This window comes from Homo sapiens, chromosome 4 (assembly GCF_000001405.40).
Source record: "Homo sapiens chromosome 4, GRCh38.p14 Primary Assembly".
NCBI classification, from domain to species: Eukaryota; Metazoa; Chordata; class Mammalia; order Primates; family Hominidae; genus Homo; species Homo sapiens.
The window spans coordinates 10,439,052-10,467,012 of record NC_000004.12 but is presented as its reverse complement, the minus strand read 5'-3'; the positions used below and the strand labels follow the sequence as shown (position 1 = coordinate 10,467,012).

The 27,961-nt window shown below is 44.2% G+C and overlaps 1 protein-coding gene across 6 annotated transcripts, besides 6 other annotated features; it reads left to right on the top strand.

The window, feature by feature from the left end:
• Nucleotides 5,492-5,661: a silencer, noted in NCBI's record as "silent region_15281". NCBI's record gives its function as "represses an Ori minimal core promoter by ATAC-STARR-seq in GM12878 lymphoblastoid cells {active_cell/tissue: GM12878}" and the evidence as "EXISTENCE:reporter gene assay evidence [ECO:0000049][PMID:35858748]".
• ZNF518B (zinc finger protein 518B) lies at nt 5,648-27,133 on the top strand. 6 transcript variants are annotated; one of them, XM_024454264.2, is made up of 4 exons: nt 9,587-9,696; nt 12,025-12,419; nt 13,560-16,385; nt 20,474-27,133. In XM_024454264.2, the coding sequence occupies exon 4, from the start codon at nt 20,685-20,687 to the stop codon at nt 23,907-23,909; it is 3,225 nt and encodes a 1,074-aa protein (XP_024310032.1). In that variant the 5' UTR covers nt 9,587-9,696; nt 12,025-12,419; nt 13,560-16,385; nt 20,474-20,684; the 3' UTR covers nt 23,910-27,133. The 6 variants fall into 6 exon arrangements, with proteins under 6 accessions (XP_047272289.1, XP_024310032.1, NP_444270.2 ...); NM_053042.3 differs by lacking the exon at nt 13,560-16,385 and having other exon boundaries at nt 12,025-12,208; NM_001375816.1 differs by lacking the exon at nt 13,560-16,385.
• Nucleotides 9,472-10,111: a silencer, noted in NCBI's record as "silent region_15280". NCBI's record gives its function as "represses an Ori minimal core promoter by ATAC-STARR-seq in GM12878 lymphoblastoid cells {active_cell/tissue: GM12878}" and the evidence as "EXISTENCE:reporter gene assay evidence [ECO:0000049][PMID:35858748]".
• Nucleotides 9,472-10,479: a biological region, named in NCBI's record as "H3K27ac-H3K4me1 hESC enhancer GRCh37_chr4:10458158-10458973".
• Nucleotides 9,664-10,479: an enhancer, noted in NCBI's record as "H3K27ac-H3K4me1 hESC enhancer chr4:10458158-10458973 (GRCh37/hg19 assembly coordinates)". NCBI's record gives its function as "activates a minimal SCP1, AML or CMV promoter by ChIP-STARR-seq in naive H9 embryonic stem cells {active_cell/tissue: H9 hESC(naive)}" and the evidence as "EXISTENCE:reporter gene assay evidence [ECO:0000049][PMID:30033119]".
• Nucleotides 10,242-10,401: an enhancer, noted in NCBI's record as "active region_21313". NCBI's record gives its function as "activates an Ori minimal core promoter by ATAC-STARR-seq in GM12878 lymphoblastoid cells {active_cell/tissue: GM12878}" and the evidence as "EXISTENCE:reporter gene assay evidence [ECO:0000049][PMID:35858748]".
• Nucleotides 10,462-10,521: an enhancer, noted in NCBI's record as "active region_21312". NCBI's record gives its function as "activates an Ori minimal core promoter by ATAC-STARR-seq in GM12878 lymphoblastoid cells {active_cell/tissue: GM12878}" and the evidence as "EXISTENCE:reporter gene assay evidence [ECO:0000049][PMID:35858748]".
• Nucleotides 27,134-27,961: the final 828 nt, after the last annotated feature.

Below are 27,961 nucleotides of genomic sequence, written 5' to 3'. Positions count from 1 at the left end.
CTTCCACCATGATTGGAAACTTCCTGAGGCCTCACCAGAAGCCGATGCTGGTGCCATGCTTCCTGTACAGCCTACAGAACTATGAGCCAAATAAACCTATTTTCTTTACAAATTACCCAGCCTCAGGTATTCCCTTACAGCAATGCAAGAATGGACTAACACAGAGGAGTACAGGAGTCAGAGTCAGAGAGAAGGCAATGCGACAAAGAAAGCAAAGGAAAAAAGGCTATGCAATGTGGAGCCAGGAGACAAGGAACGCCAGCTCCCTTGGGAACCTGGAAGGCACAAGGAATGGGCTCATCCCTAGAGCCTGCAGAAGGAGCCAACTACGCTAACGCCTTGATTTTAGCTCATTTTGACTTCTGGCCTCCAGATCTATAAGATAATAAATGTGTGTTGTTTAAAGCCACCACGTTTGTGGTAATTTGTTATAGCAGCCATAGGAAATAATGCAGTTGGCTTTCCAATAAGAAGACTTAACTGAAGACAGGGCTGGCTTCAAGGGCATGTGATCTGTGCAGTCACACAAGTCCCCACACTTACAGGGACCTCATGGTTGGTTTAATGCTCTATGTCTTTACAAGATTAATGATATTTCGAAAAAAGAACTCCACATATTCATTTTGCATGGGGCCCTGTCACTTACGTACTCAGTCTTAACTAAAGATAACATATTTGACATATTTTGGGCATAGCATTCTTTTTCTTATATTTTTCTGTTATTAAGATTTTCTAGGCCGGGTGTGGTGACTCATGCCTGTAATCCTAGCACTTTGGGAGGCCAAGACAGGCAGATCACTTGAGGTCAGGAGTTCAAGACCAGCCTGGCCAACACGGTGAATCCCCGCCTCTACCAAAAATACAAAAATTAGCCAGGTGTTGTGGTGCCCACCTGTAATCCCAGCTACTTGGGAGGCTGAGGCAGGAGAATTGCTTGGACCTCCACCTCCTGGGTTCAAGAAATTCTCCTGCCTCAGCCTCCCAGGTAGCTGGGATTACAGGCATGCGCCACCATGCCCGGCTAATTTTCGTATTTTTAGTAGAGTCGGGGTTTCATCATGTTGGCCAGGCTCGTCTCGAACTCCTGGCCTCAAGTGATCCGCCTGCCTCAGCCTCCCAAAGTGTTGGGATTACAGGTGTGAGTCACCCAGCCCTGCCCAGTCTTTCTTTCTGAGCAGCTATGTGCCCAGTAAGAAATTGTAGGAAGGTCATAATTAAGGAAAAAAGAGGAGAGACAGATTTAGGGTAACAACTACCAGACTGGGCTACTACTGCAACCTTAAACTAATTATATGTTTTGGTGGGTTGTCTAGCAACGTTTCACAGAGTATTTCTAAAAGGGGCTTAAAGGCCCATGGCGTCCATATATCTAGCTAAAAGTGGGGTTCCATTAAGAAAAAAGAGAAAGCATATTGGGTAAAACCTGGCAGCTTCCAACATAACTACGATCACTACATTGTATGTATCAGACTTTTCCTAAAGAGTCACAGAAACAGTGAAAAAACAATTTATTATATTGCTCATTCTTAAAAGTCTGTGACCACCTAACTTCTGGAAATTTATCTAGAACACCTTTCACCTTAGGGTGCTTTCTCTACTCTGAACTTTTCTCTCAAGTTTTCCTAACCTCAAATTCCAGGGAGCCAAAACTATAAAAACTCTAGAAGAAAATCTAGGCAATACCATTCAGGACAGAGGCACAGGCAAAGATGTCATGACGAAAATGCCAAAAGCAATTGCAATGAAAGCAAAAATTGACAAATGGGATCTAATTAAACTAATGAGCTTCTGCACAGCAAAAGAAATTATCATCAGTGTGAACAGACAACCTACAGAAGGGGAAAAAATTTTTCTGATCTATCCATCTGACAAAGGTCTATCATCCAGAATCTACAAGGAACTTAAACAAATTTACAAGAAGAAAACAACCTTATTAAAAAGTGGGCAAAGGACGAGAAAAGACACTTCTCAAAAGAAGACATACACTTAGCCAACAAACCTGAAAAAAAGCTCAACATCATTAATTATTACAGAAATGCAAATCAAAACCACAAGGAGAAACCATTTCACGGCAGTCAGAATGGCTATTATTAAAAAGTCAAAAAAGAACAGATGCTGGTGAGATCGCGGAGAAATAGGAACACTTTTACACTGTTGGTGGGCGTGTAAATTAATTCAACCATTGTGGAAGACAATGTGGCGATTCCTCAAAGACCTAGAGGCAGAAATGTCATTTGACCCAGCAATCCCATTACTGGGTATGTACCCAAAGGAATATAAATTATCCTGTTATAAAGATACATGCAGGCATATGTTCACTGCAGCACTCTTCACAATAGCAAAGACATGGAATCAACCCAAATGCCCATCAATGATAGGCTGCATAAAAAAAATGCGGTACATGTACACATGGAATACTATGCAGCCATAAAAAGAAATGAGATCATGTCCTTTGTACGGACTTGAATGGAGTTGGAAGCCATTATCCTCAGCAAACTAACACAGGAACGAAAACGAAACACCGCATATTCTCACTTGTAAGTGGGAGCTGAATAATGGGAACACATGGACACATGGTGGGGAACAATAAACACTGGGGTCTGTCAATGGGGGTAGGGAGAGCAGCAAGAATAGTTAATGGATGCTGGGCTTAACACCTAGGTGATGGGATGATCTGTGCAGCAAACCACCATGGTACACGTTTACCTGTGTAACAAACCTGCACATCCTGCACATGTACCCCAGAACTTAAAGTGAAAGTTGAAGAAAAGAAAAGAAAAATTCCTGGGAGCTATGCTGTTCTCCTAATGCTGTTCTCCTTATGCTGTTCTGAATAAGGAGTAAACTCTGCTTTAGGTCTGGGAAGTGAGGTCTCCAAGGCAAGCTCTGGAATTTCATTTTTCTTAATAAAAATGGTTTCTCCCCAAGAGAAATTCCAGTGGCAGATGTTGATGTAACAATGTTCTCAACCTGCTTATTTGCTAAATAAATGAATCATTTACATTTTTCTTTACAGGGTTCCTGGATAAACTGGAAAGATAAATTTTCAGGGCTGTCATCCCCTTACTAGTAAGATAAAATATACTTGCGGCCGGGTGCGGTGGCTCATGCCTATAATCCCAGCACTTTGGGAGGCCAAGGTGGGCAGATCACGAGGTCAGGAGTTCGAGACCAGCCTGGCCAACATAGTGAAACCCCATCTCTACTAAAAATACAAAACAATTAGCTGGGTGTGGTGGCAGACGCCTGTAATCCCAGCTACTCGGAAGACTGAGGCAGGAGAATCATTTGAACCTGGGAGGCAGAGGTTGCAGTGAGCCAAAAGCGCATCACTGCACTCCAGTCTGGGCAACAGTGCAAGACTCCATCTCAAAAAAAAAAAAAAAAAAAAGATATACTTACCAAATAGTCATTGATTCAGTAAATATTGTGCCAGTCATTGAAGTAGAATCTCAGTATACAAAAGGAGAGCAACATAGACTACTTTTCTTCCAATGGGCCTTACCATCTATCTAGTACTACCTAGTGCCATCCAGATTTTGTGAAGAGAGAACAAGTGAACCCCAAGAGACCTGTCACTAACACACTCCTTCAACATAAAGCAAGAATGTTGGGCTCTGTCCAAGAACAGGAAAAAAAAAATCCATGCTGAATATCCACATAAGCTCAGCCTTCCCTGAGTTCTGTTGTTCATGATGTTTGTGGACATCACAGTATACTGGAAGACTTCTAGAATGAATAGTAACAATAGCTGTTACCATCTAGAAAATATGTCCAGTTCTCCAAGGCACATGGTAGGATGGCACTCCTCTGTTCTTTGCAATTATGAGGGGGCATGTGACTTGCTTTGGCTAGTTAAACGAGAGTGGAAGTCATTTGCACGTCTGGTCGGAAGTCTTAAGAATCAGTGCTCTGTTAAGCGAAGCTCTTCTTCCCTCTGCCTTGACAACTGACCACACATCAGTTGGTGTCTGCTTGGTAAGTCTGGTTTCTGGGCTAAAGATAGCAAGGAGTACTCAACCAATCCCTGATGGAGATCTAGTGTAAGTGAAAAGAAACCTTTGTCTTTCTAAGCTACTGAGATTTGGGAGATTTTTTATTACTGTAGTGTAACCCAGCCCATCCTAACTGATGCAATCATAAATGTCTCTCAACATGAGAGTCTTCTACAAAAAGTAACTCATCTCATCCTCATGGAAACCTCATGAGGCAGATACTATCATTATTTCCATGATTTTCTCTGAGAAGAAAACTTAGAGATGAAGGAGTGGATGAATAGTTAAGTGCTAATATCCAAACCCCAAGATTCCAAGTGGGGTTTCATGCTTTGGTGACCCAAACCACAGTTTTTGCTTGAATTAATAAATGGGAACTCAACTATAATGGGTGCTTATAAGTGTCAGGCCTCCGCCTTAGGCGCTGGGAATCTAAGGGTGAACAAGACAGTAGCTTACTTCCAAGTAGGGGAAAATGAAAAGACCCAACAAAACATACAACAAACAGTTTCAGTTCATTATGAAGAACATAAAACACAGGGATGTGACAGAATGAGGAGTACTGAAATGGTTAGAAAGGCCTCTGAGAAGGTGATTTTTGAGTTGAGAGGGGAAAGAGATACCCCAGGCAGGCATAATTCGTGCAAAGGTCTTTCCCGGGAGAAGCCTGGTGCATCAGCGGTGCATAGCGGAGTCAGTTTTGCAAGACCATGCGGAGAGGGTATAAGACGACCTGGCAGGCAGGCAGGGGCGCATCCTGTAGGGCCGGAGGCTGCAAGGACTCTGGAGCAGGGGAATGACTTAATTCAGTTTGCTTTGTGTAACGACCACTCTGGATGTCGCAGTGTGGTGGGAGGCCAGTGGATGCAGGAAAATGAGCCAGGAGACCCTCGCGGACGCCTAGATTTACCTGTGGTGAAGGACTAGGTCTTGCCCCCAGGCCTATCCTTTTCGAACCTACTCGAGTCTACGCAGTTCTGCGCACAAGCGACCACTCCCTGAGTCCGACTCCACCCAACCCGAATTCCTGTTGCTGACCCCGCGCTACAACGCTGCAACTTTGTCAGGTTGCAATGAGTTTCTAAATGCACCCTCTCTGGTTCTGATCTGCATCCTCCGGAACAGATCTGGGGAACGGCCCCTGTCCGCCTCTCCGCTTTCCAGAGCTCTGGTCTAGGCAAGGGACGCTGACGGCTCCGCCTGGATGGGCCGTGGAAGCCAAGCCTGTTCTGTGCCGCGCACCATGCTCCTGCTATGTCCCAAGCAGTTAATGACTTAACAAAGCCCACGCGCCACGGGTCCTGATGGCGCTTTCAGCCCAGAGGCGGCGGGAACACAGCGGGAGGGGCGAGGAGCTGCAGTCATCAGGAACCCTCGGATTCCACGCCAGCCTGGGGAGGGAGCAAATTGGAATGTAAAAACAAAACATTACATTCCCGATTTTCGGAAGCGCGGGGCGAGCGGGAGCGAAGACGCCCAGGTGAGCGCGGGGCTGCACCGCCCGCCGCGCGGGGTAGAGCTCTACACGCCGAGCTGGGCCAGCCGGGCTCGCAGCGACACTGCAGGCCGCGGGCGGTACTGCAGCGCAGCGCGGCCCGGCGCATCTCGAGGCTCTATCGGGCGCGCATGCTCAGCGCGCCGCTCGTGGCCCCACTAGCCTCACTGCGCGCTTCCGCGGCAGCCGCGGCGGCCGAGCTGAGTGTGCGGGCCAGGAGAGCCAAGAGAGTGGGCCTGCGCCGCAGGGCGGGAAAGGGCGGCTGGGACGTGGTCCCTGCCTTAGCCACGCTCCAGCGCCTGGCACCCTCCACGAAAGGTTGCTCCAGTTACTCCTGTTTTGCAGTTGAGAAAACGTCTCAGAGACTGGCAGTAACTTGGCCAAGGCCACACAGCTGGAAGGATGGCAAATGAGTTCGGGATTCGGGCTCTACATCCTTAACCTCCTGCACCCCAGGACTGTGAGGCGAGGTAAGCTTGAGAACCGGGGTTGTCTTATCAGAGCTTGGGGGGCCTTTATCCCTCCTTTACAGATGTGCAAACTGTGGCTCAAGGAAGTTACTAAAAACTTCTGAAATGTTTTAGAAGAAAAAAAAGCCACTTTCTGGGATCTCCTGTCCATGCATAAAGTTTTGAAGTGTCTGAGATTGACATGTCTGTGCTCTGACCTGGGTGTTAAAGACCTGGCCCTTTTCCAATGGACAGTGCTGTTTTTGTCAAGTCATATAATATTCGGGAGCGGTAGAGGCCAGAGAGAATATAAAAGTGGGTAATGAAGCATGGAAGGAAGTTCAGAGCAAGAGAAAGGATGATCATGGAAAGCTCGTGGAGGCCTTCCTCTGAGCCCCAAGCTCCCCACTGGCAGAATTTGATGAAGGGCTCTCTAAGATCAGAGTCTGTAGACGCCTAGAATGATCTAAATCCACACTGCCTTTCCTTTTCTTCCTCAAAAGCGCCCACCTCAGGGCCTTTGTACATGCTCTCCTCTCCCCTGTTCTCCATCTTCTTGTGGCAGCTTCCTACTCGTGGCTTACAGCTCATCTCCCAAGTCCCCGTCATTGCATTTGTAAGGCTCGTGGTCCAGAAATGAATGTTCCCTGAGGGCTGAGCCTTACCCTGTTCGTCATTCCTCTAGCCTCAGCACCAGCCTGTGCCTGCACTGAATGGGCATTCATACATGGTCGGTTTTTTTTTTTTTGGTTTTTTTTTTTTTTTTTTTGAGACAGAGTCTTGCCCTGTTGCCCATGCTGGAGTGCAGTGGCTCGTTCTTGGCTCACTACACCCTCCGTCTCTTGGGTTCAAGCAATTCTCGTGCCTCAGCCTCCTGAGTAGCTGGGATTACAGGCGCCCGCCACCACGCCCAGTTAATTTTTGTATTTTTAGTAGAGGCGGGGCTTCACCATGTTGGCCAGGCTGTTCTTGAACTCCTGACCTCAGGTGATCTGCCCGCCTCGGCCTCCCAAAGTGCTAGGATTACAGGCATGAGCTACTGCGCCCAGCCCAATACATGTTTTGTTGAATGCATGAGTGAATGAATGAACGTTGGCTCCCAAATCTTATACTCAAGGACTGGTTCATGTCTTCCTTCTTCTCTCCTACATTAGGTAGTCATAACTAGGAGGGTGCATTGATTTCTTAGGGTGGCTGTACCAAACAAACATGTATTGTCTCACAGTTCTGTCGGCTCAGAAGTCTGAAATCAAGGGGTCCACAGGGCCATGCTCCCTCTGAACCCTCTAGGGGAGGATCCTCCCTGCCTTTTCCATCTTCCAACAGCCGTTGGTTTGTGGCTGTGTACTCCAATCTCGGCCTCTGTCCATGGCTTCTTCTCCCTGTGTGTCTCCATGTCTTCTCATGGCATTTTCTTCTCTGCGTCTCTTCACAGAGACACAGAATGGTGTCCCTTGTAAGGACACCATTCACATTGGATAAGGGCCCACCCTAATGACCTTGTCTTACATCTGTAAAGACCGTGTTTCCAAATAAGGTCATATCCATAAGTTGGGGGTGGGGGATATTAGCGCTTCAACGTATTTTTCTGGGAAACATAATTCAACTCGTGACAGAAGTGATCCACGGAATTTAGGCAAACTAAGCTGGGGGGTGGAGAAGAAGACATGAAGGGCAGACGTGTAGGGAACGTGTGATGATTCACATTTGCAAGCATCAAAAGACTTTTAGGGACATCAGCCTTAAAGGTTTCTGCTGAAGTAGTTTCTATTTTTCCTTGACCCTTTTTCAGGCTGTAAACACTCCATTTCCAGACACTCCACAAAGCATTTCATCTCCCTGAATTTGGGCTACTGAAGAGTAAGTTAACAGTCACTTCTATCTGCCAGGGACTGTGATAAGTCCTGACTTGCTTTCTCTTGTTTAATGTTGACAACCCCCTTGGGAGGAAGGACCTATTTTTCACTGAATTTTACATGAGAAACTGAGGTTCAGACAGGCTCACAACTTCTATGTGGCCGAACTGGGATTTATAACCAGTTCTCACTTCAGAAAAACTCCCAGGAGACCCACAGGTACCTTACATCAATTCTGTGTGACTTAAGAGGGCAGAACTGTGATGCATGAGTAGAAGTTATAAGGAGAGTTGCCTCTCCTTATAAAGTTTAGGACAATTTTCTAATGTCTAGACCTCAGATTCTCCAATACTTAGAATTAATAGTTTTTCCTGATGTGGCTCTGTTTGCCACTAGAGATTTTCAGGCAGTGGCTCCTAGTTTGGATTCTCAATGCCTTTCCCAACTTGACCCTACTCTTGAGGGAGACTTTGAACTCTCTGGCATATTCTCTCTGATAGGTGCTATCTGCACATAAATGTGTTTTTCTGAGAAGAGGTTCCTTAGCTTTTCTGAGCCCTAGGAGATAGAAAACCAGGACCCTAGCAGCTCCCTGATCAGGACCGAGGTTAGGAGCACTGCAGCCTAGGGCAGGAAGAAGGATTTGCTCTCTGGGCTGCTATTTTCTCTGCCCAGCTCCTGATACTTTAGTGGTGGAGGTTTTGCCCAGCTGCTGGACTTGTGGCTGAGCCTGTCTTCTTCAACTCCGCTTCTCCGTGTGGCAGTACTGCCCAGGCCCACATCTCCTCCGTGCAGCATACTGGCCGCTGTCCGTGCACGCCGACCTTTGGCCGCCAACAGGAAGGTGATGGAAACCAGCCTTGCCCCGCCCCCGCCTCCAGAGCTTTGAAATAAACTTTAGCTGTTCATCCCGAAGAAACTGTACTTCCCAGTGACGCTGCTCCCATGCCTCAACCTGCCCCTGCTGGAGAGCTGTTTCACTTTGTGGGGAGTCACTGATTGTGCGGGACCTGGCAATATGGTCTTCTTCTTTCCTCTTAGAGGCTCTATTCTAAATATGTCTTCCTTCCGGACCGTAGATGCAGGTGTATCTAGAGGGCAGTTGGCTCGCCCAAAATAGCACCGAAGTCCAGGAGGCAGGAAAGAAACTCTGGCATTAAATGAGCTCACACCCTCTCCAGACTCCCACAGTCATTGTCCCCTCTGACCCTCGCAACGCCCAACTGCTAGAGGAGGCTTTGCGCCTCACATACGACCTTCCCCGTCTTCAGAAATGAAGACACTGAGAGAGGTCAGGGGACTTTCTCGCCAAGGTCCAGCAGCTAAGATGTAAAGGAGTAGGGAGAGTCAGGATTTGTACCCAGGACTTCAAGGCCATCTCCTTCACTGAAGCTCTCCAAGAAGACGAGTTTGGAGGCTGAGGACCTGAGCTCCTCTTCTCTCGCTTTCACTCACCCACTGCAGGACTGCAGGCTCCAGGGAGGCAGGCGCCAAGGCCGCCCTCCGCGGGACCCGGTACAAGGCAGGCGCCCCGGGATGGCAGACTGGGCCAGGACCGAAGCCGAATCCTTCTTTTGCCTGCGGCATGGCTAAATGTGGACCTCGCTCGCTACGGTGCGAACGTGTTGGGTCAAGCTCTAAGCCCAGAAGTGGGGCTCGGCTGGGTCTGAGGCTCCCCGCTCTGGACAGCTTAGAAGCCCGGCGGGGGCGGGCGCAGCCTTAGAGACCTCAGGCGCCGGCCTCGCTGGAGCCGCGCCGCCGCTTCACATTGCGCACGCGCGGGGCTGGCGCGGGCTCCGCCCCCCGGGTAGGGACCTACAGCGGGCGCGGCGCCGGCGGTCTGCGGCCGGCGGTGTAGACGCCCCTTCGCCGGGACCTGGCACCCGAATCCGGCCTGCCGGGTAAGTAGCTGAGCGGGAGGGCGAGGGCCCCCGGATCCGCGTGTACGTGACCGAAGCGCCAGCTGCGGCCGGGTCGTGGGGGCGCGCGGGGCGGGGGCCTGACGGGGCCAGGCCGGGGCGGGTCGAGCGGCCGCGGCCCCGCGTGCCCGCGCTGAGGGCTGGCGTCGTGGCAAGTGGCACCGGGTAGGCCGAACGCGGGCTCCGGCTGGTGGGCGTGGGGCACCGGCTGGGGTGGGGGCCCGGGCCGCGGCTTGGCGCGCGTTGAGCAGGTACGCGGGCCTGGCCTAGGGTCGGGGTCCGGCCCGGCGCCCCCAGCTCGCCTTTGTGCGCCGCGACCCCGCGGACTCGGCCGACGCGCCGGGGCGACCGAGGCGGGGGTGGCAGCGTCCCGCGGGGCCGTTCGTGTGGCGCCGCTGGCCCGGCCTGCGCTCCCCGCCCCCAGCGTTATGAAGGATGCCTCCTCCGAGGGCTCCTACCGTCCGCGCCGAGCAGGAAGTGTCGTCAGGAGGCCATTTTTAAAGCCTCCTGCGGGCCTCGGAGCTGAGCGTTGACGGTTTTGGTTTTCTTCGGTTGGAAGAACCCCGGCCTTCCCTCGCGGCGAGCGGGACGCGCCTGGGAGACGACGATGCGCCCGATGCACCTGGCCTCGTCCTCCGAGCGCCCAGGCTCAGGCGCGCTCGCCTCGGATGCTGCCTGCCATCGGGGGAGCGTGCCGACAATAAACTCGAAAACCAGCCTGGCATTGTCTTTCCTTGAGAGGGTCAGGGGTGGGCTCGTCCATCGAGGTCCTGCGCATCTTTTACGGGGGGCGAGGACATAGGAGGTTGAGAAGAGATGGTGAAGGTTTGAATTGTTCCAAATGCTGATGTCATTGTGGGACCTCCCCATACCGGCCTGCCCGTCTTATCTTGGTGTCTTTGGGGTTTGGGGCTCTGTAAAGCCAAGAAATTGCAGGGTTCAAAAGAATGAAAGTTTCTTAACCAGAAAGGAAAAGCCAAAAGAGCGAACGGGAGAAAACACTTAAGTCTTTATAAGTTGGGTAGTTAATGTATCCCGTTACAATACCTCTGACTTTAAAAATTGTAATAATGAACGATTTATCAACGTAACATTAAAAAAAAAAACTACAGAGCATTATGTCCTATTTAAAAGTACAAATCTACGTAGCTAAACTCTAATGTTGTGTTAGACTCTTTAAACCATCTTAAGTTTAGACTTGAAATCACCAAGAATTAAGACAAACCTGGGTCTCTAGAAGCTTGCAGTACTCTTCTACAGTAGAGCAGAGACTGAGGATGGGAATACATCTCTTTTCTCTCTCTTGAGTCACATATGCAAAGTTCAGCCCAGCATATGATGTCAGTACACAGCCAAGGGTTCAGAAAATATTGTTTTAGAAACCAATGTTATATACTGTTGTCTCTTTGAGTAGAATACAAATAGTTCTTTTTTAAAATTGTGTGATATTGATATCTTTAACTAGGATGCAATTTTTAAAAGTTACTTTCATCTTGGATCAAATTTAGCCTTCAAAAATAACACTTTTTTGCGTAGACAGTTTGCTATGCTGATAACATTCATTGCAAATGCAATTTGAAAAGAGCAGACAAAGGATGGCATTCCTTTATTTATTGGGACTCCTTTCTGATGTATTATACCCGATCTGAAGATCTTAAAAATGCAAAATGGCAATTAAAAAAATCCATTTAGATCTCTAGAGATTTATTTGCCTTTAAGTAAGGGCATCGGGGCCAGTTTTTGTGCAAAAGGAAGAACAAAGAACATTTTATTTTTGTCTCTGTGAAGCCTGCTCTTTCATTCATTCATTCACTCATTCTTTCAACCAGTACGAACCTTATTGAGTGCCTTCCTTGGCCAAACCCTTCGCTATTGATCATGATAAACAAGATCCTTACCAGGGAGGGTTTCCCCAATCATGATTGTTCTCAAACTGCCTGCTGTCTACTGCATTTTCTTTGTTATGCAAACTCAGCTAACTGCAATTTCCAGGATTCATCCTTGGAGTGAAAGCAGCTACAGATCAGCCAGTCTAAACATTGTCATCATAGGGTGAGGGTGGGGAGGCATCAAAATCAACTAGGGAGAATTTTAAACCATATGCCTGAGCCCCACCCTAGGAAATGGTAACCTGATCTGCTAGGTTGCATGTGAGTCCTGGGAATCCTTTTTAAGTTCCGTGGGTGACTTTGCCATACACCCCTGCTTGAGAACCACTTCTGGGGCTCATTCCCCTTATCTTCAACACTCTGAGAAACCAAGGCTGTGCCGGTCCAGGACTTAAACCCAAGTGTTTGGCTTCTGTTGCAGGCCTCTTTGTGCAGCGCCTTGCTGACGCCCAGGGTTCTGATGTAGAAGCCTACACCAGGGCCTGAGGTTGTGAAACTCATGGCAGTCCACGCCTGAGAAGAGAAGGCCTGAAAGAGAAGGAAGAGCCCATGGGACTTGCCACGGTTTTGACTTACATCTGCAACTCCAAGGCTACAGGCAGGAAGTAAGAACAGTGCTCAAGTGGCAGCAGATACTGACTATGGCTTCATTTCACAGCTTCACACAGCAGGGTAGCAGAAAACAAAGAATGTAAGATTGGACCCAGTTGCAGCTGTTCACCAACTCTGTGATCTTCAAAAAGCCATATAGCTTCTCCAGACCTGTTAATCAGGGAAGAAGCAGATAACTGAAGGCTGGCTTTGAGAAGTTTCGAGGTAACATAGGAACCTGCTCATGCAGGCACTCTTTCCATCTGACTTGGGCCAAGGTGCTCCGTGATTGACAAGCAGCCAGCCTCTGGGAGAGCACTCTGATCAGATCATTGATAGAACATTCACTACTCTACTTATCATACCCATTTACTTATCTCCATCTTCTGTTAGACTCCTTAAAAACAGCAGCCCACAGCAGGTGTGGGGATAAAACAGTCCTGGGCAGTGCTCATTGTACTCACACTATGCCAGGCACTGTGCCAGGAACATTCAAATTTCTAAGAATCTACAAAGTAGATACCTCATTATACATCTTACAGAGAGCATCATTGGTGTTTCCAAGGTCACAGGGCTAGGCAAGGGTGGAACCCTGAGTCTGCTTGTCTGTTTGCCCCATGACAGCCCAGGGGTGGTGGCCTCACCCCACCTCCAGGCACCCACAAGAATATAAAATCTTGTACAAGGATGTCGATATTACTATTGCCATTCCCAAGTGCACCTGCACCTGTAGTATCAGGTGGTTTGCAGCCTTGGCTGCATAGCTGCATATGAGAATCACCTGGGAAGCTTTTAAAGATCCCAGTATCCCCACCTCTTCCCCAGTTACAGTGGAGTCTTGCGGGTGGTGGGGGACATCATTATTTTTGAAGCTTCCAAGTAATTCTGGTGTGCAGTGGGGTGACCAGCTGTCCCAGGGACCTCCTTTAAAAAATAATATCCCGGGCACATGACAGGCCAATTGCCCTAATGCAACCAAGGTTAAGAACTACTGGTTTAATGGGAGATATTTTTTCTGTGCTTGATTATACTGTTTTATTAAACTCTGAATCCATTTCTTTCTGCAAATTTTTAAGGCAAAAAAGAAATGTGAAAATATACGTCTCATTTTTAGCACCTTCAGAGACCCGGAGTCATTTGATGTGCTTCATGACATAAAATTTTGTAATATGCCGTGTGATACTACCTTATTTTTACCATATATGTATTTTTAATGCTTAACAAGAGCATATTTGCTCTTTCACATTTTTTTTTCACATACAAAGTTTTAGACATCAAGCACTCTAAATTCTTTTTTACAAATATTTTTTTCTTAAAATGTTAAGAAAAAGCCTATAATATCACTTCCTTTGTTTCCTGATGTAGACTCAGTTGATGTGCACAGCAGTGTCAAGTCAATCTCCAAAATACTCCCTGTAGACAGGGTGGGGAGAAGACCCTCACTTCCTGCCGACTAATGAACTCATGTTGATACAGACCTTTGCCTCATCAGATTCATTTGTTAAGCTAACCAGTGTCTGCTTCTCTGGACATTACTGGACTCTTCTACCTGTGAAGCCATCTTAAAAAAATATATTGACTGATTTCTTAACGAAACATCTACTCTTTGCCAAGCATAAAGTTACCTCCCACTTGCATACACCCTTTTCTCATTTGTCCTCACATCAGCTGTATAAATGAGAAATATTCACATTTTATAAGTGAGAACATTCAGGCTCAGATAGGTTAACAAGTTTGAAATCATGTGCTAGTAAACCAAACACCTAGGTTTTGAACCTTGTTCTTCTTGTCCCAAGGTCATTATTCTCTACTGTGTTACACTCAGCTGCTTTCACCTGGAAAAGCAGAGGAATCAGGCTGTCTCCTGCAGCTGTCTTGGTCCATTCTGCTGCCCAAGCAGTACACTTGGTTTCAGATGGAAATCTAGGATCCCAAGCATGGGTACATTTGTCGGCAGCATTTGGAAGTATTTTTCGTCATCAGGATGGCAGTCAATTTGCAATTCAGTCATCTCAGTGCAAGGTAGTTTGGCAAAAAGATTATGACACTTAATGGATTTTTTTCCTCTTTTAAATCTGTTTACCCAGCATTTTGTAGTATAATGCAATGTAATAACATTGCATTATTTTGAGCATAGTTTAGAAGCCAAGAAGATGCTTTCAAACAGCTGACATAATTCAGTTATGGCCCAGATGTCCTGCCTTCCCCATCACACATTCATATTAATGGTCTTAGAAAGCTGTTTCTGAGGCAACAGTTTCTTCCTCAATATCATCCTACTGGGGAAATTTTGGCAGTTGATGTCTAATGTTGATTTTTTTTTCCTGATTGATTTTAATTGTTCACTGGGCACTTTGGGGTAGAATTGTTTTAAAAATTTGGTTACTGGGAAAGCTAGACAAGCCTTTGCTATGGTGAAAGAGACAGAAGGAATATAGATATAATTTGTAAGTGGTTATGCCATTGGGCTTAATGCTTTGCATACATTATCTAGTTTGCATCTCCTGATCGCCCTTTAAGTTTGCTTACGGTAAAGCATTATTCCTTGCTTGGCAATGCACAGAGAAAAATTATTTGCTGAAGGACCCTGCAAATGAGGGACAGGATCAGAGTTGGAACTGTAAACCCTGCCACTCCATTTCATGTGATCTTCATGGGTACAGCAGCTATACCCTGCCCCAGCAATGAGTATGGTAGAGCCACATTCAAAGGCGGACTTTGGGGTCAGCATTCCTGAAAAGAGCTGCTTAAGTTTGCTTCTACATCCAAAAACGATGCAGTCACAGTCAACTAACACTGAGCTTGCTGGGCATCTCCTGAACAGAAATGTATGTGGTGGTCCATGTAGCATGTATGCGATATAATTGGCCACCCACCTTTCCTTTTCACATTAACATTTATCACAGAAACACATTCATTTGCTACAGGGATATTTCACAATTTGGCTGAACTTTGAGAGAAGTGGGTGAGGAAAAGGTAGTTTCGTAACTAGTTTATATATAAACCTAAATTGTAGTGAGTACTCTTGTAAGTGGAGCATCTTTTCTATGGTAATTATAAATGGCTGTTAGCCCCTTTGCACTAAAGCTAGGTGGGTGGTTTTGCCACAGAGGTAAATTATCTTTCGGGCGGTATAACCAAACAAATAAAATATAAAGTGAGATTCAGGGCATGTTCTGAATACAGCAGTTAATTAGGCAGCTAAGAAAACTGTATTTTAGCCCCTCTGACTATGTGATTGGTATTTTTTTAAATTAAAAAATGGAAAATAATATTTTTAACAGGTTATGATATGTCAGTCATTTAATCCTCACAGTAACTCTGTGGGGTAGGTAGGTACTGTTTCTATCTCATTTTACAGGTAAGGAATCAAAACAGTGGGTATACCCAGGTTGTATATCTAGAAAGTGATAGAGCTGGGATTTTAAACTTTATAATCTGATTCCAGAATCTCTACCTTTAAACACTATGTTACCACTTACTTCTCTTCAAATTTTATTGAGCATTAGATGTTTCCAGTATTTAGAAGTCAAATGCTTCGTTTTTAATAGGAACTTACACAGTCTTTTATGTTTTTTTATAGCCCTCAATGTCACTGATGTGGATTCTCCCAAACTCGATACTTTGTTTGTTTTTATGTCCCCATAATAAGTCTTTAAGAAAACAGGGCAAGTGAGCTCAAAATCAAAAGAAAACCCACCAACAGTGAATGCATTCAGGGCTATTTCCAGGTCTTTCTTTTGAAGAAAGATAAGACTCAGTCCAGAGAGCACATCTGTGACACACCGTGCCTCTTGCCTTTGGTGCGTGGCAGTCATCTTTGGCTCATGCTGTACCTTATTCTACATTAGAAAACTCACTGTATGTTGCTAAATAATTTTTTGAAAACAGGCAGATTAATAAATGGACATCTTATTTATTGCACCATAAAATTAATGGTATTCTTTTCTGTGTTTTCGAGACCTTTCCTAAGCTATCTGAAAGTCCTAAGACGCCAAATGCAGAGGCTTTTGCAACAGATGTTGAGAGTTTGCACGGTAGGCAAACACTGACCCTGCTGTTAATAGTAATTTATTGAGTACCCTTTCAGTGCCAGCATACCCATGCACAGCTTTGTCTCCGGTGTCTTTTTGTACTCCTTGGTCATCCATCCAGAGAGTCATAACTTGCCAAGAGGACTCAGCTTCACAGGTGTGTATACTTGGATGTGAACCATGGAGGACGTTGTGTGGAAGGGACGGGCTGAGAGGCTTTTACACAGATATGCCTGCTGTCCCTCAGGAGTGTCCACGTGTAAATACCAACATCAGAACCATCTTCATTCTTCCATGTGGCTGTGTCCATTTACCTTGTCTTGGAGTATTACATCTGAGATGCATTTCCCTCTGTTACTAGACACAGGTTACAAAGGCCAAAGAGAACTCCCATCTACTTGTTATGAAGAAACCTCACATCTTTTTCACTTGCACAGAGGGATGTGGCAATGTAGTAACATTGCATTATCTTGAGCATAGTTCAGAAGCCAAGAAGATACTTTCAAACAGGTGACATAATTCATTTATGGCCCAGATGTCCTGCCTTCCCCATCACACTGCATTTGCTAATAATCATGGCTGCATGCTTCATATTGGCACTTGCTCCTATGGATTCTTAATTCAAAATAACTGCTGAGAAAGTTTTGCAGAGGCCTCTCCAAGACTCTGCCTTCCTCATGCGTTCTGGCTGGCTTGTGTATTCTCTGGGGACTTTCCTTGGCTGGGATGCTCTCCATTCCTTGCTGATGGACGTGATCTTACTGCCCAGTCTGTCTCAGATTTTCAAGTATTTAGTTTTAGAATAAATGATACCTTCCCGCCCCCAACTTTTGAAAGGACTTAGAGAGAAAAATGGCAAAAGTGCCTTCTGGGATTTTTGAAGACTCCTGGGGGCTGAGCAAGAGGCTGAAACACTGAAAATGAGCCAGTGGAATCCTGGTTTGGATGATTGTTCAAATAGAGGAATCTTGTCACATGACTTAGTTGAGAATTTCTTAGGGCTAATATAGAGGGTGTTATGTTCAAATAGTTGGTAAGCAAATTGTGGCAGGCAGGTTTCTTTCTCACACACTAGTATTACAAGACTGGTAGATCAGAGCATAAACAGATATCAACTTATATGCAAATCTTTGGAAGAGAATTGAGAACTGAGGATGAGAGAGGTGCAGATTGGTAACTGGTTGACCAAGAGGAATTAAGTTTATTTTTGTTGCTCCAGAGTCAAGGCAGAACAAGGAAATTTATAGGAAAGCTGATTTCTGTTTCATTTAAGGGTAAATTGTTGGTAATGAGAACTATGTGAATATAAAATTGGCTGCCTATAGAGGGAAGTGGTTTTTTGTTTATGGCGATATTAAACTATCAGCTGCATGGTCAATTGGAGAAGATGTTTTAAGGATTTAAATATTCTCAGAAGCTTCAGCCAGTAATTTGGAATGCTGGCTTTTCATCAGGATTACCTAGGGTGCCTTTACAAGCCACAAAAATCTCCTTTCCTTTCTTCTCTCCTGAGACTTAGATTCACTCGCTTTGAGATGAAGCCTGGGAAATTGTCCATTTTTGCTCTGATTCTGAGGCTTTTCCAAGTTGAGAACGCTGGACCAGATCCCCCTTATCACCAGTCTTAAGCCTTTTCATTCCTTAGGCTTTGGTTTTCTTGGGTTCTGGCTGCTGCTGCAGCTTTTCCGTTTTATCTGGATAACAATGTTGACATGACTATATTGATGATGGTAGCATTCTTTAGATGATAAAGTGTGTGATTTCGAGGATCAGCAGTGTCGGACTGGGCATAGAAGTCATGGGCCTTTTTTTAATAGATAATAGAGATGCAGGTAAGTTCTTGCTTGAGGTCACTTGATGAGCAGCAGAAATCCTGGGAGTTACTTCTGTCTTCCTTCACTAAAGCCTCTGCAAATTTGGAAATTTAAGTGTGTGCCAGCTTCTCATAATGACTCCTCTGAAAGTTGTGTTGTCTCTTCCAGAAATGCAGTGTAATGTAAAAGGCCTTATCTTTGCCCATGTATTGTTTGCCAGCTTGAGGCATTCATGTGTCCTGTGCAAAATCATGGTCCCCTTACACAGGTATGTGTTTGAACATTGAGGGGACAGATGTTTCTCCAGCCCCCCACTGCAACCCTGCAGGCCTCCATCTGCTTGATGTCTAAGTGTTGTATGCATACTTAAGATAGAGCAAGTCTGACTGAGGGCTTGATTTCATGCTGGAAATTGCTTTTGAAGAAGGTGACTATCTTTCGCAAAAGTAGAGTAGGAAAAGACGACACTGCCAAAGAAAATACAGCTTGTCATCAGATATGATGTGTTATTTTGGTGCTTTCCAAAGGGCAGGTTTTACACCAGATCTGAGTGCGTTACTGTTGCATCTCTTGAGCCCCTGTGGAGGGGCTTTTTTAAACTCCCCGACGTCGGTCTTTCAGACTACCTTTATATGGCTCTTGGCCTGTTAGCATTGTGCCAGAAGGAAGCTACCTGTGTTGCCACCCATCATTGTCATTGAACAAACACTGACTGAGTCCCTCTGGGTGCCTCTTGACACTTGGAGAAGGACTCAAAAATTTCAAAAGTCTTCTCTTATACTCTAGTGTTCTTATACTCTAGCATTCTAATCATCATGGCGGCTCTGGGAGGAATTGGATAATTGTTCCTAATTCTAGTTGCTAGATGAAAAACTGAGGTTCAGAAGATCTAAGTGACTTTCTTAAGTCATGAAAGAAAGGCTTTTAGCAGATTCCAAACTAGAATGGATTTTGTTATGCTCCTAGTTTGCCATATTCTGGGAAAATAAGTGTCTTTAAAGATTGTATAAAAGAGTCACTGTGGCCAGGTGCGGTGGCTCACGCCTGTAATCCCAGCACTTTGGGAGGCTGAGGCAGGCAGATCACCTGAGGTCAGGGGTTAAAGACCAGCCTGGCCAACATGGAGAAACCCTGTCTCTACTAAAAATACAAAATTAGCTGGGCATGGTGGTGCAAACCTGTAATCCCAGCTACTCGGGAGGCTGAGGCAGGAGAATTGCTTGAACCCTGGAGGCAGAGGTTGCAGTGAGCCAAGATTGCACCATTGCACTCCAGCCTGGGCAACAAGAGTGAAACACTGTCTCAAAAAAAAAAAAAAAAAAAGGTCACTCTGTGTATATTGGAGTGCTTACTTGCTCTAGAAAACCTTCGTCACCTCTTGTGTCCCAGGCCAGGCCATCCGTGATCTCCTTTCTGCTCCAGCCTCTCCTCTGCCATGTCCGTACAATACTGGGTTATTGTCTTTCCTAGAACATGTCCCGTTCCCCATTCTCCTTGCTGTTCCTCATGAGCAGCAGGCCCACTTCCCACAGATCATTGCCTTTTCTGTGCTTGAAACACCCCTTTTCCAGCAGCCACAATGCTCACTGTGGTTGCCCCCAGGTCTCTGCTCAGACATGAACTTAGCATGAGGCCTCTCCTGACTCTCCTCACCTCCACACCCAGCCCCGCAACCTCATCACCGTGGTCTTCCCTGTCCTGTTGGCCTTGCTTTTTTCCCAAGTATCTTACCACCATTGGCAAATATGTAATCTGTTTCCCCCTGTGCAGTGTGTGCATCACCAGGAGAGGGACTGATTTGCTTTCATTCACTACCTTACAGCACTTTTGAATAATGCCCAGCACATAGTAGATTCCCAATAAGATGCTGCAGCAGGCTTGCTAACATTGTCAGTATTATGGGCTTCTTAGCACTCATGAAGGCAAATTAAGCATGTAAGTGAGAGAGTTGGTATTCAAGCTGATAATAAGCTATAATGTAGAAACAAATGTGAACACCCCAGGCCAAAGCCCTAGCTCTACCACTTGATAACTAACTTGTTCAAAAATTGAACTGACAGTGTCCTGTATAACATTTTTGTGAAGGTAATATGAAATTATACCTATGAAAGATGTGCTCACTGACACTTGAAAATGACTTTCCCTGACCAAAGGCTGTCCTGAATGGCTGCTATGATGTCCTTGTTCCTGGTATATCTGTGTTCATTCATGATTTGGCTAAAGTGGTCATTTATAGGGGGCTGAGTTTGAAAATGTTTTCAATTTAGGCTTACTTGCCAACTCTGTTGTGTTATTGTTATAACATGCGTCTAAAATCATACGTTGAGATTTACCATAAAATGTCCAAGGCCATTAAAATATAGGATAAGTTTGTTAATAGCTTAGCCAAACTCTTATATTAATCATGCTTTATAATTTTGTTTTCCTTTAGTGTTACCTGGAATGTCAGAGAGCTGAAAGCAGTCATATTTTGGGATCATGCACCTACTGCGGCAGTATATAAAGAAAGATAATTAAGTATGCACCCAAGAAGTAGCTGCGCCCCTACCCATCACAAACTGTATAGAAGGATATCTCCTAAGGATTTTATCATGTGAAAACTTTCTGAATTTTAGTTGGCTCTTTTTAGAAATGCAGATAAGATGAAGGATATTGGACAGCAGCTATACACTACACACTTGAACGGCGGACATAATTCCTTGACCATGTCACCCAAACAGCCTGATGCTAATGGAGCACCTCGGCCAAATAGACAAGAAGCACAAACCCTTTTGTATCAAGGCTCAGAGGCAGAGGCTGCCATGATGACCATTGCTACATGTGCAAAGTGCAAAAGTGTTCACAAGATCTCTCTTCAAGATTTGCAGAAGGGTACAGGGAAGGACGGTATGTATGTCTGCTTCCAGTGCAGCCTCGGTGCAGCTCCTCCCAATTTTCATTTTGTGAGCAATAATTCCAGTGCGACTCATGTTGGAAATAAAACTGAAAACTTCTCAAGTTCTGTCAATAGCAAATTTAAGGTAAGGAACTTTAAGCCAGGCAAATACTATTGTGATAAATGTCGATTCTCTACAAAGGACCCGCTGCAGTACAAAAAGCACACCCTTCAACACGAGGAGATTAAATTCATTTGTTCTCACTGCAGCTACATTTCGTATACGAAAGGAGAGTTTCAGAGGCATTTGGTGAAACACACAGGCATATTTCCTTATCAGTGTGAGTATTGTGACTATGGTGCTATTAGAAATGATTATATTGTCAAACACACGAAGAGAGTACATGAAAGGGCAGGTGCGAAACGGCCAGTCAAAGCTGTTGCCAAGCTGGAGCCAAAAAGAACCGGAACTTCAAAACAAAACCCAGAGCTTCTAAAAGCTTCCAATCCACGGACTACATTTCAAAATAAGTGGTCAGACCAACTGTCAGGTTTCTCTCTCCATGCAAATAAAGACAAAATGCACAATATCATGTTGTTACCTGAACCAAAGGAATACCAAAAAGATGTAGTTTGTATTCCAAATAAAATGACCCTGTCTGAGCCAAATGAAGTCAACCTATTTGAGAACAAAAATGTTGAAGTAGAAGTGTTATCCCCTGCAAAAGAACCTGTTCAGCCAGGTATGCCATTGACAGTTGTTGCACCAGCAGAACTAGTTGTCCCTGCAAACTGTTTAGCCCAGTTGATAGATGTGAAGGTTGTCAATGGTACACAGCAGCTTGTTCTGAAACTGTTTCCGCTGGAAGAAAATAATTGCCTTGAAGCTGGGAGGGATAATGGAGGTAATTCTGAACGTATGGTGAAAGAGAAGGGTTCAAATGAACAAGAAAAAGTACTTTCTGCAGAAAAAACAAAGTCACTGACAGTTGACGGGAATGTTGGAAAACTCGTAGGCATTGATAGTTTTCAACCTTCAGTTCAGAAACAGCTTAAAAATGTGAAATGGGTAAGGTCTTATGATTTTATTATGCCAAATTCTAGTGTGCACAACAATGGAAAATCCTTCATTAATTCGGAAACAATTGAGGATTTTCAGAAAAAAAATAATTTGTATCCACATAGAACTGCTTTTCCTTCCGTTGCCTTAAAAGGTCATTCTCTAGCATCTGTATTTAAAAACAGTGTTTTACGTAGTCTTGGAGCTGCATCAAACCCTTTTCCATATAAAGCTGCTGTTTGTTTTGCTGAAAGTGGAAGAAATTTACACAGTAGCTCACAGCAGTTACTCCCATTTGCTGCATCACCTGCAACCTGTTCCTTCTCTGGAGAAAAGGGCTTATTGCCTGTAAGTGAAAATGACTTGGAATCTACAAGTAAAGTCAATATTCCTGTAAAAGTGGTTTCCTCTAATAGGAAGCAGGAAGATAACCAGACAGAGGAACACAAGGCAGTTTCAACTGTAGGCCAGATTTCCTCTCAACATAAGAGTGAGTATTTACATATAAACATAACTGGAGAAGATAGATCTCAACAGCCTGGGGATAAGCCTTTGGAATTAAAGAATTCTGAAAGGACTAACAACACTAATGATGGCCCAGTCATCTCATCAGTATTTTCTCTGAGCTCTGGATCTGAAAATGTCCCCGAGGGCATTAAGTGGAATAGCTCAACGTCTAAAATAAAGTCAATTGAACTGTTGCGCAGAAAGATAGCTCAGTTAATTGAGTCCTGTGGGAAGCCGTCATCTTTGGCTTCAAATAGTGCACATCGTCGCTCTGTAGGGCAGGCATCAAAGGGAACTTCAAAAGCTACCTCTGAAGGTATTCAAGAAATCAACGTGTCACTCACTGGTCTTGGCCATTCCACAGGTACTCTTCAGAAACCTCCGAATGATGGTGGTATTACTGGTAATAGACAGCTTACTCATCAACAAATATATCCACACTTTGCAGATGGCAGTAATAGGAAAACCAAAAGCAGAGTGGCCAGGAAGGCTCATGTTGCCACGCCAGTGTTAATCCCCAAAGGGGCTGTGTTGAGGGTTCTTAATTCCTCTGAGAATGCCCACATCATAGAGGCTACATGTGAAGCACCTGTCAGCATACCTTGCAGTGAAAGACAGTTAATAAAACCAGTTCCATTTTGCCCTGTGAGACAGGCGGACTCAGACTTACAGCCTTTAAGAAGTGAAAGGGGGCCAATAGATATGTCCCCAAATATCGAGACACCTCTGCGGCCTAAACTGAGAAAAGAGAGTGCTGTCTGTAGCACCATCCATAGAAAAACTGGCCTCTTGTATGGACAGCAAGGAAGCAGTGAATTAAATAAGCAAGGGAGACTGCTTTCCAGAAGTCTTTCTATAAGTAGAAATAAAACCAAACAAGTACACTTATCCAGGAAGAAAAACAAAATTCAAGCTGAACCTAGCCGCTGTCTCAAGGATCCTTCAATTTTTCAGGTTGCAAGGCAACTAAGACTGATAGCAGCTAAGCCAGATCAGTTGATTAAGTGTCCCCGTCGGAACCAGCCAGTCATTGTGTTAAACCACCCTGATGTGGACTCGCCAGAAGTGACCAATGTGATGAAGGTAATAAATAAATACAAAGGCAATGTCCTCAAAGTTGTTTTATCAGAGAGGACTAGGTGTCAGCTAGGCATCAGACGGCATCATGTACGCCTGACCTACCAGAATGCGGAAGAAGCCAGTCAAATTAAAAGGCAAATGATGTTGAAAATGAAACTCAAAAAAGTTCATAAAAACAACTACCAGGTAGTGGATTCCTTGCCTGATGATTCTTCACAGTGTGTATTTAAGTGCTGGTTTTGTGGGCGACTGTATGAAGACCAGGAAGAGTGGATGAGTCATGGCCAACGGCATTTGATAGAAGCAACTAGAGATTGGGATGTTCTTTCCTCCAAGGGCAAATAAGTAAACAGTTACTCTTTAAAGCAAGTTATCTTTTAGTTTATTCTGGTTTGGAGTCCCTCCACCAAGATTCAGTAGAAGAAATACAGACTGTAGAAATGAGAGGACTGCTAATTCTTCAGAACTGTAGGAATATTGGGAGCTAGGAGTCTGAACCTGAAGTATGTGATTGGACCCCAGAATGTATTTGAAGGCTCTGAAATTGTACATGCAAATTGGTACATATGCATTTTTCTGGAGAGAGCCTGTGAAACTGAACAGATTTTCAGTGGGATCTGAGACTTTTCTTTGTTTAGCACCCCGTTTTCTGAGTACATACTGATCTTTCATAATCCATTCAGAGGGGCAGATTGAGAATGTTTTACACATGCTCTTCATATAAATGCTACAGAAAAACCTTTGTTTTGGTGTGCACATCCATTTTGTTTTTGCTTTAATTTGTGTTCTGAGTATTTGGTGCACAATGGAAATTATATTTTCTACTTTACTGTCTTCAATTTGGTTATAGAGAAATGGCCATTCTTTTACTCCCTCCCTGGTTTTGTAATACTCCCGAGTGTTCCGTATAGCACAAAGAGTTTTGCTTTTACTGGCCATTTTAAAGAATGTTTTCAACTGCTTGCCTGAATTTACTCCTTTCACAGCAAGTGTTAGAAGAAAGATAACATTTTCAAATACTTAGCTTTTGCTTTCTTTAAAATACATTGGTTTATGACATATGGGAAGGGAACGTACCTTTTTGCAAAGACAAAAAGAGATTACAAAAGGAAAATATCTAAAACTATTTTCTCTTTGCCCTTACCACTCCCAGAAACATAAGTGACCAATTTAAAATGCTAGGGAACAGGCTTACAACATAGGTAAAACTCGCAAACACAGTTCAAGGTAGGCTCATAAAGTTGTGAAAAGGGTTTCATATGCCCTTTAGTTTTCATTTGGGATTCATCCAAAGACCATGGGTGGATGCTGTCTTCTCTCTTCTTGATCCCTTTGATTCATGGACACTAGACTCCCTTTGCCATTTCTTCTGAACCGGCCCTCCTGTGGACTAGCACAACTTCCTTGCCCACTGTTTCTTCCTTTCTGTGCCTTTGAGACCCCTTAAGGTTTTCCCTCATGCGATTACTAGAAAATGGCAGGAATCAACAAAATGGAGACCTCCCACTGTTTTTGCTAAAGTTACAGGAACACGATCCCTAGTTTTCATTGATAGTAACGCTGTTTCTAATTTGTCTTAACCACATTCATGCTTACCCTGCTGCTCAGCTTTCTCAGGGAAGCAACTCCAGGAACACTCCTTCCACTCCCCTCTCTACCAACAGATGTCAGGACTGTCATTTATCTACACATTTGTGTTCTTTAGAAAAAGGCCCACCCCCTGCACAAGCACAGCCTCTTGGGCAGATAGGTGGCTGGGTCAGTGCTTAAGACAGGATTCTAGTCTTCACTTGCCTGTGCAGCTGGGCGCTGACCTTCCAGGTAGAGCACAGATGGCACAACCCCGAGGCAGCCCCAACTTGCATTTCCCTCCCTCCAGGGGCTATTCCTGTCTTAGGCGATTTGTGGGGTGCAGTGAATGAAACTAAAGAGTTGTTGCACCTGAAAAAGACACCAGTGATTGTTTATTGGGTAGTCGATTGGAGACTTTGATTTTTTTTTTTTTTTTTCACATGGGAAAGTCTTAGATTCCAGTAGATGGAATTGCAATCCTTTGCAGTTTGTTCTCATTACAGATAATCAACATTTCTTTTGTATAATTCAATACATGATCATCAAGTTAATTGGTAAATTTTTATTGAAATTTAAAACTTGCATTTTTATATATGTGTATGTGTACACATAAAAATATTTTTTACCATATGAAAATTGCAGTAGCTAATTTTCTGATTTCCTATTTTATAATGATACATGGGCTGGAAAAATGTAGAACGTTTTTATATTCTAGAAATTTATTTTGGAAGTACATTTTTATAAGGGTCTAATCTCACTTTTGGAAAATGAAAGCACAGGAATGATGGGGTCTGGTTTATGTGAACAAGTGAGTAGAAACCCCTTTGGATCATTTTATTACTGCATTTTTATTTGGTGCTTTTTAGGAAGTAGATCTTTGGTACCACTTCACTACGTAGAGCATTCGAAGTTTTATCCATGTTATATATTGTACTCCTGTGGCATGAAAAATAGCTCCCAAGATATAGAGAGGAGAGGAGTGAAGAAAAGGCTGTGGTTTTTTTTTGTTTTGTTTTGTTTGCCACTTTTTTATCTCCTATTCCTCACCACATAGTGCTTTTTCCTGAAAAGCTGGACTGAGAATTGGCCTTGAATCAGGTCAGAGTGTTAACTGTCAACATGAAGTATTTTCACTTCGCAGCATCAACTTTCAAGCATAAGTAAAAACACAACTTGCATACTTTGATGGAGCTTAATTGTGTGAGTAGAATATGTAGCAAAGCTTTTTAGGATTTTCAGAACTAGAATACTTTTTAAGGAATTAAAAGTGTTTCTGGAAGTCAAAAATGGGAAAGCAAAAAGTAGCTGTCCTCCCTAAAGAGCTTTAGAAGATAGCTTAACCTGTAGGTACATGTTATGAAATAAACACATTTCTAACAATACAAGGGAGTAGGGGCAGACCTGTGTTGAGTATTTGTGTGGGTTCTTAATTTTGAAGGACCTCCAATCACTACATTTTGTTAATACTGCCAATAAAATCATTTTCAACTTATTTTTTAAAGTAGGTTTTCTTACTTTGGTGGACCAGAAGTGAGAGATTGTTATATTTAGGATATAGGCAAATACAGTAAAAGTTAAAAAAAAAAAACCTGACCCAAAGTATACTCTGATAGACTATATTATATTCAATTTTGTATCCCCAGTCGAGAACATCTTGTAAGCCTTCATTAAGGGCCACCTGCTGTCTGTTGAACTAGACTGAACAAAATATATTTTCTCACAAGCTCCATCCCTTTTTCTTTAGGACATGTTATATATAATCCATCTCAGAAGTTGAAGATGTGATGTTGCTCGGCCTTTGGAATAATTTTTAAATCTGTAAATGTCTATATGAGCAGAAACAAAACATTGTGTAACATGTTTTAAGCATTATTGTAATTCCTGTGTTAACAGTTTGTGTGTCTGCTGCTCTGGTTTTGAAACATGTTTGTATATAGATACAGGAGTTGGCATAAATTTTGTTAAATAAAGCAACAAAAATTTTCTTTGCCCTTTGATTTCAAACGTTATGCAGGTGACTTTATTACATAGCCTATTTGTATTATACATTTCTGAGTCAAAGGCAAGGCGTCATTCTACGTAACAGGTGTTTTGAATTCTACCAGGGTATGTTTTGAATTAGATGCAATGATGGGATGGTTAACCTTGCAGACCCTAATATGAGGCCAGGTTATGTTTTTGTTTTGTTTTGCTTGCAGATTCACAAGAGGTGCTGGTTTGGACAGCAGTGGCAATTTTCCTGCCATGGTTAGGGGCCTCAGCAGAGAATGTATGTGGGCCTTTAACCTGCCTTCCATGTCTTGGGTAGAAGAGTTCCCAGTCAGTGATGAGCCCCTGGACCACGTGTACTTGCACTATTGATGTCATCTCTCCAAATGATCTCTTGCACCCGAGTCCACATATATTTGGGTTGCAAGAGTATGAGGATATTTAAAGAGGCACTTAATTTCCTCATCTCACTCCCAGGGCCCAAGGAGTCATAAGGGAAAGGAAGAGAATTGGACTTGTGACAAATACTGGCAGATCTGAGGAAAAGGGAGGTGAGTTGCTTAAGTTCACCAATTTGTTCAGTTTATTTTGAGTTAAAAAATGAGTCATCTTTGAATCCTATAGGATCGTTAATTGTCACCTTTGGCAGTAGTTATTTAGGGGAGAGTGGAGGTCAAATAAGGCAGGAGGAAACTGAAGGGGCTCTGTATTATGCATGGAGTACCAGGGACCTGGTAGCTGTAGTGTGATGAGTCAAATAGGAAACATGGGTGGAAACTGACTTCAAGCATGTAAAGCTAGGAAGTGGCTGTCACTAATGTATACTGTGTAATAGA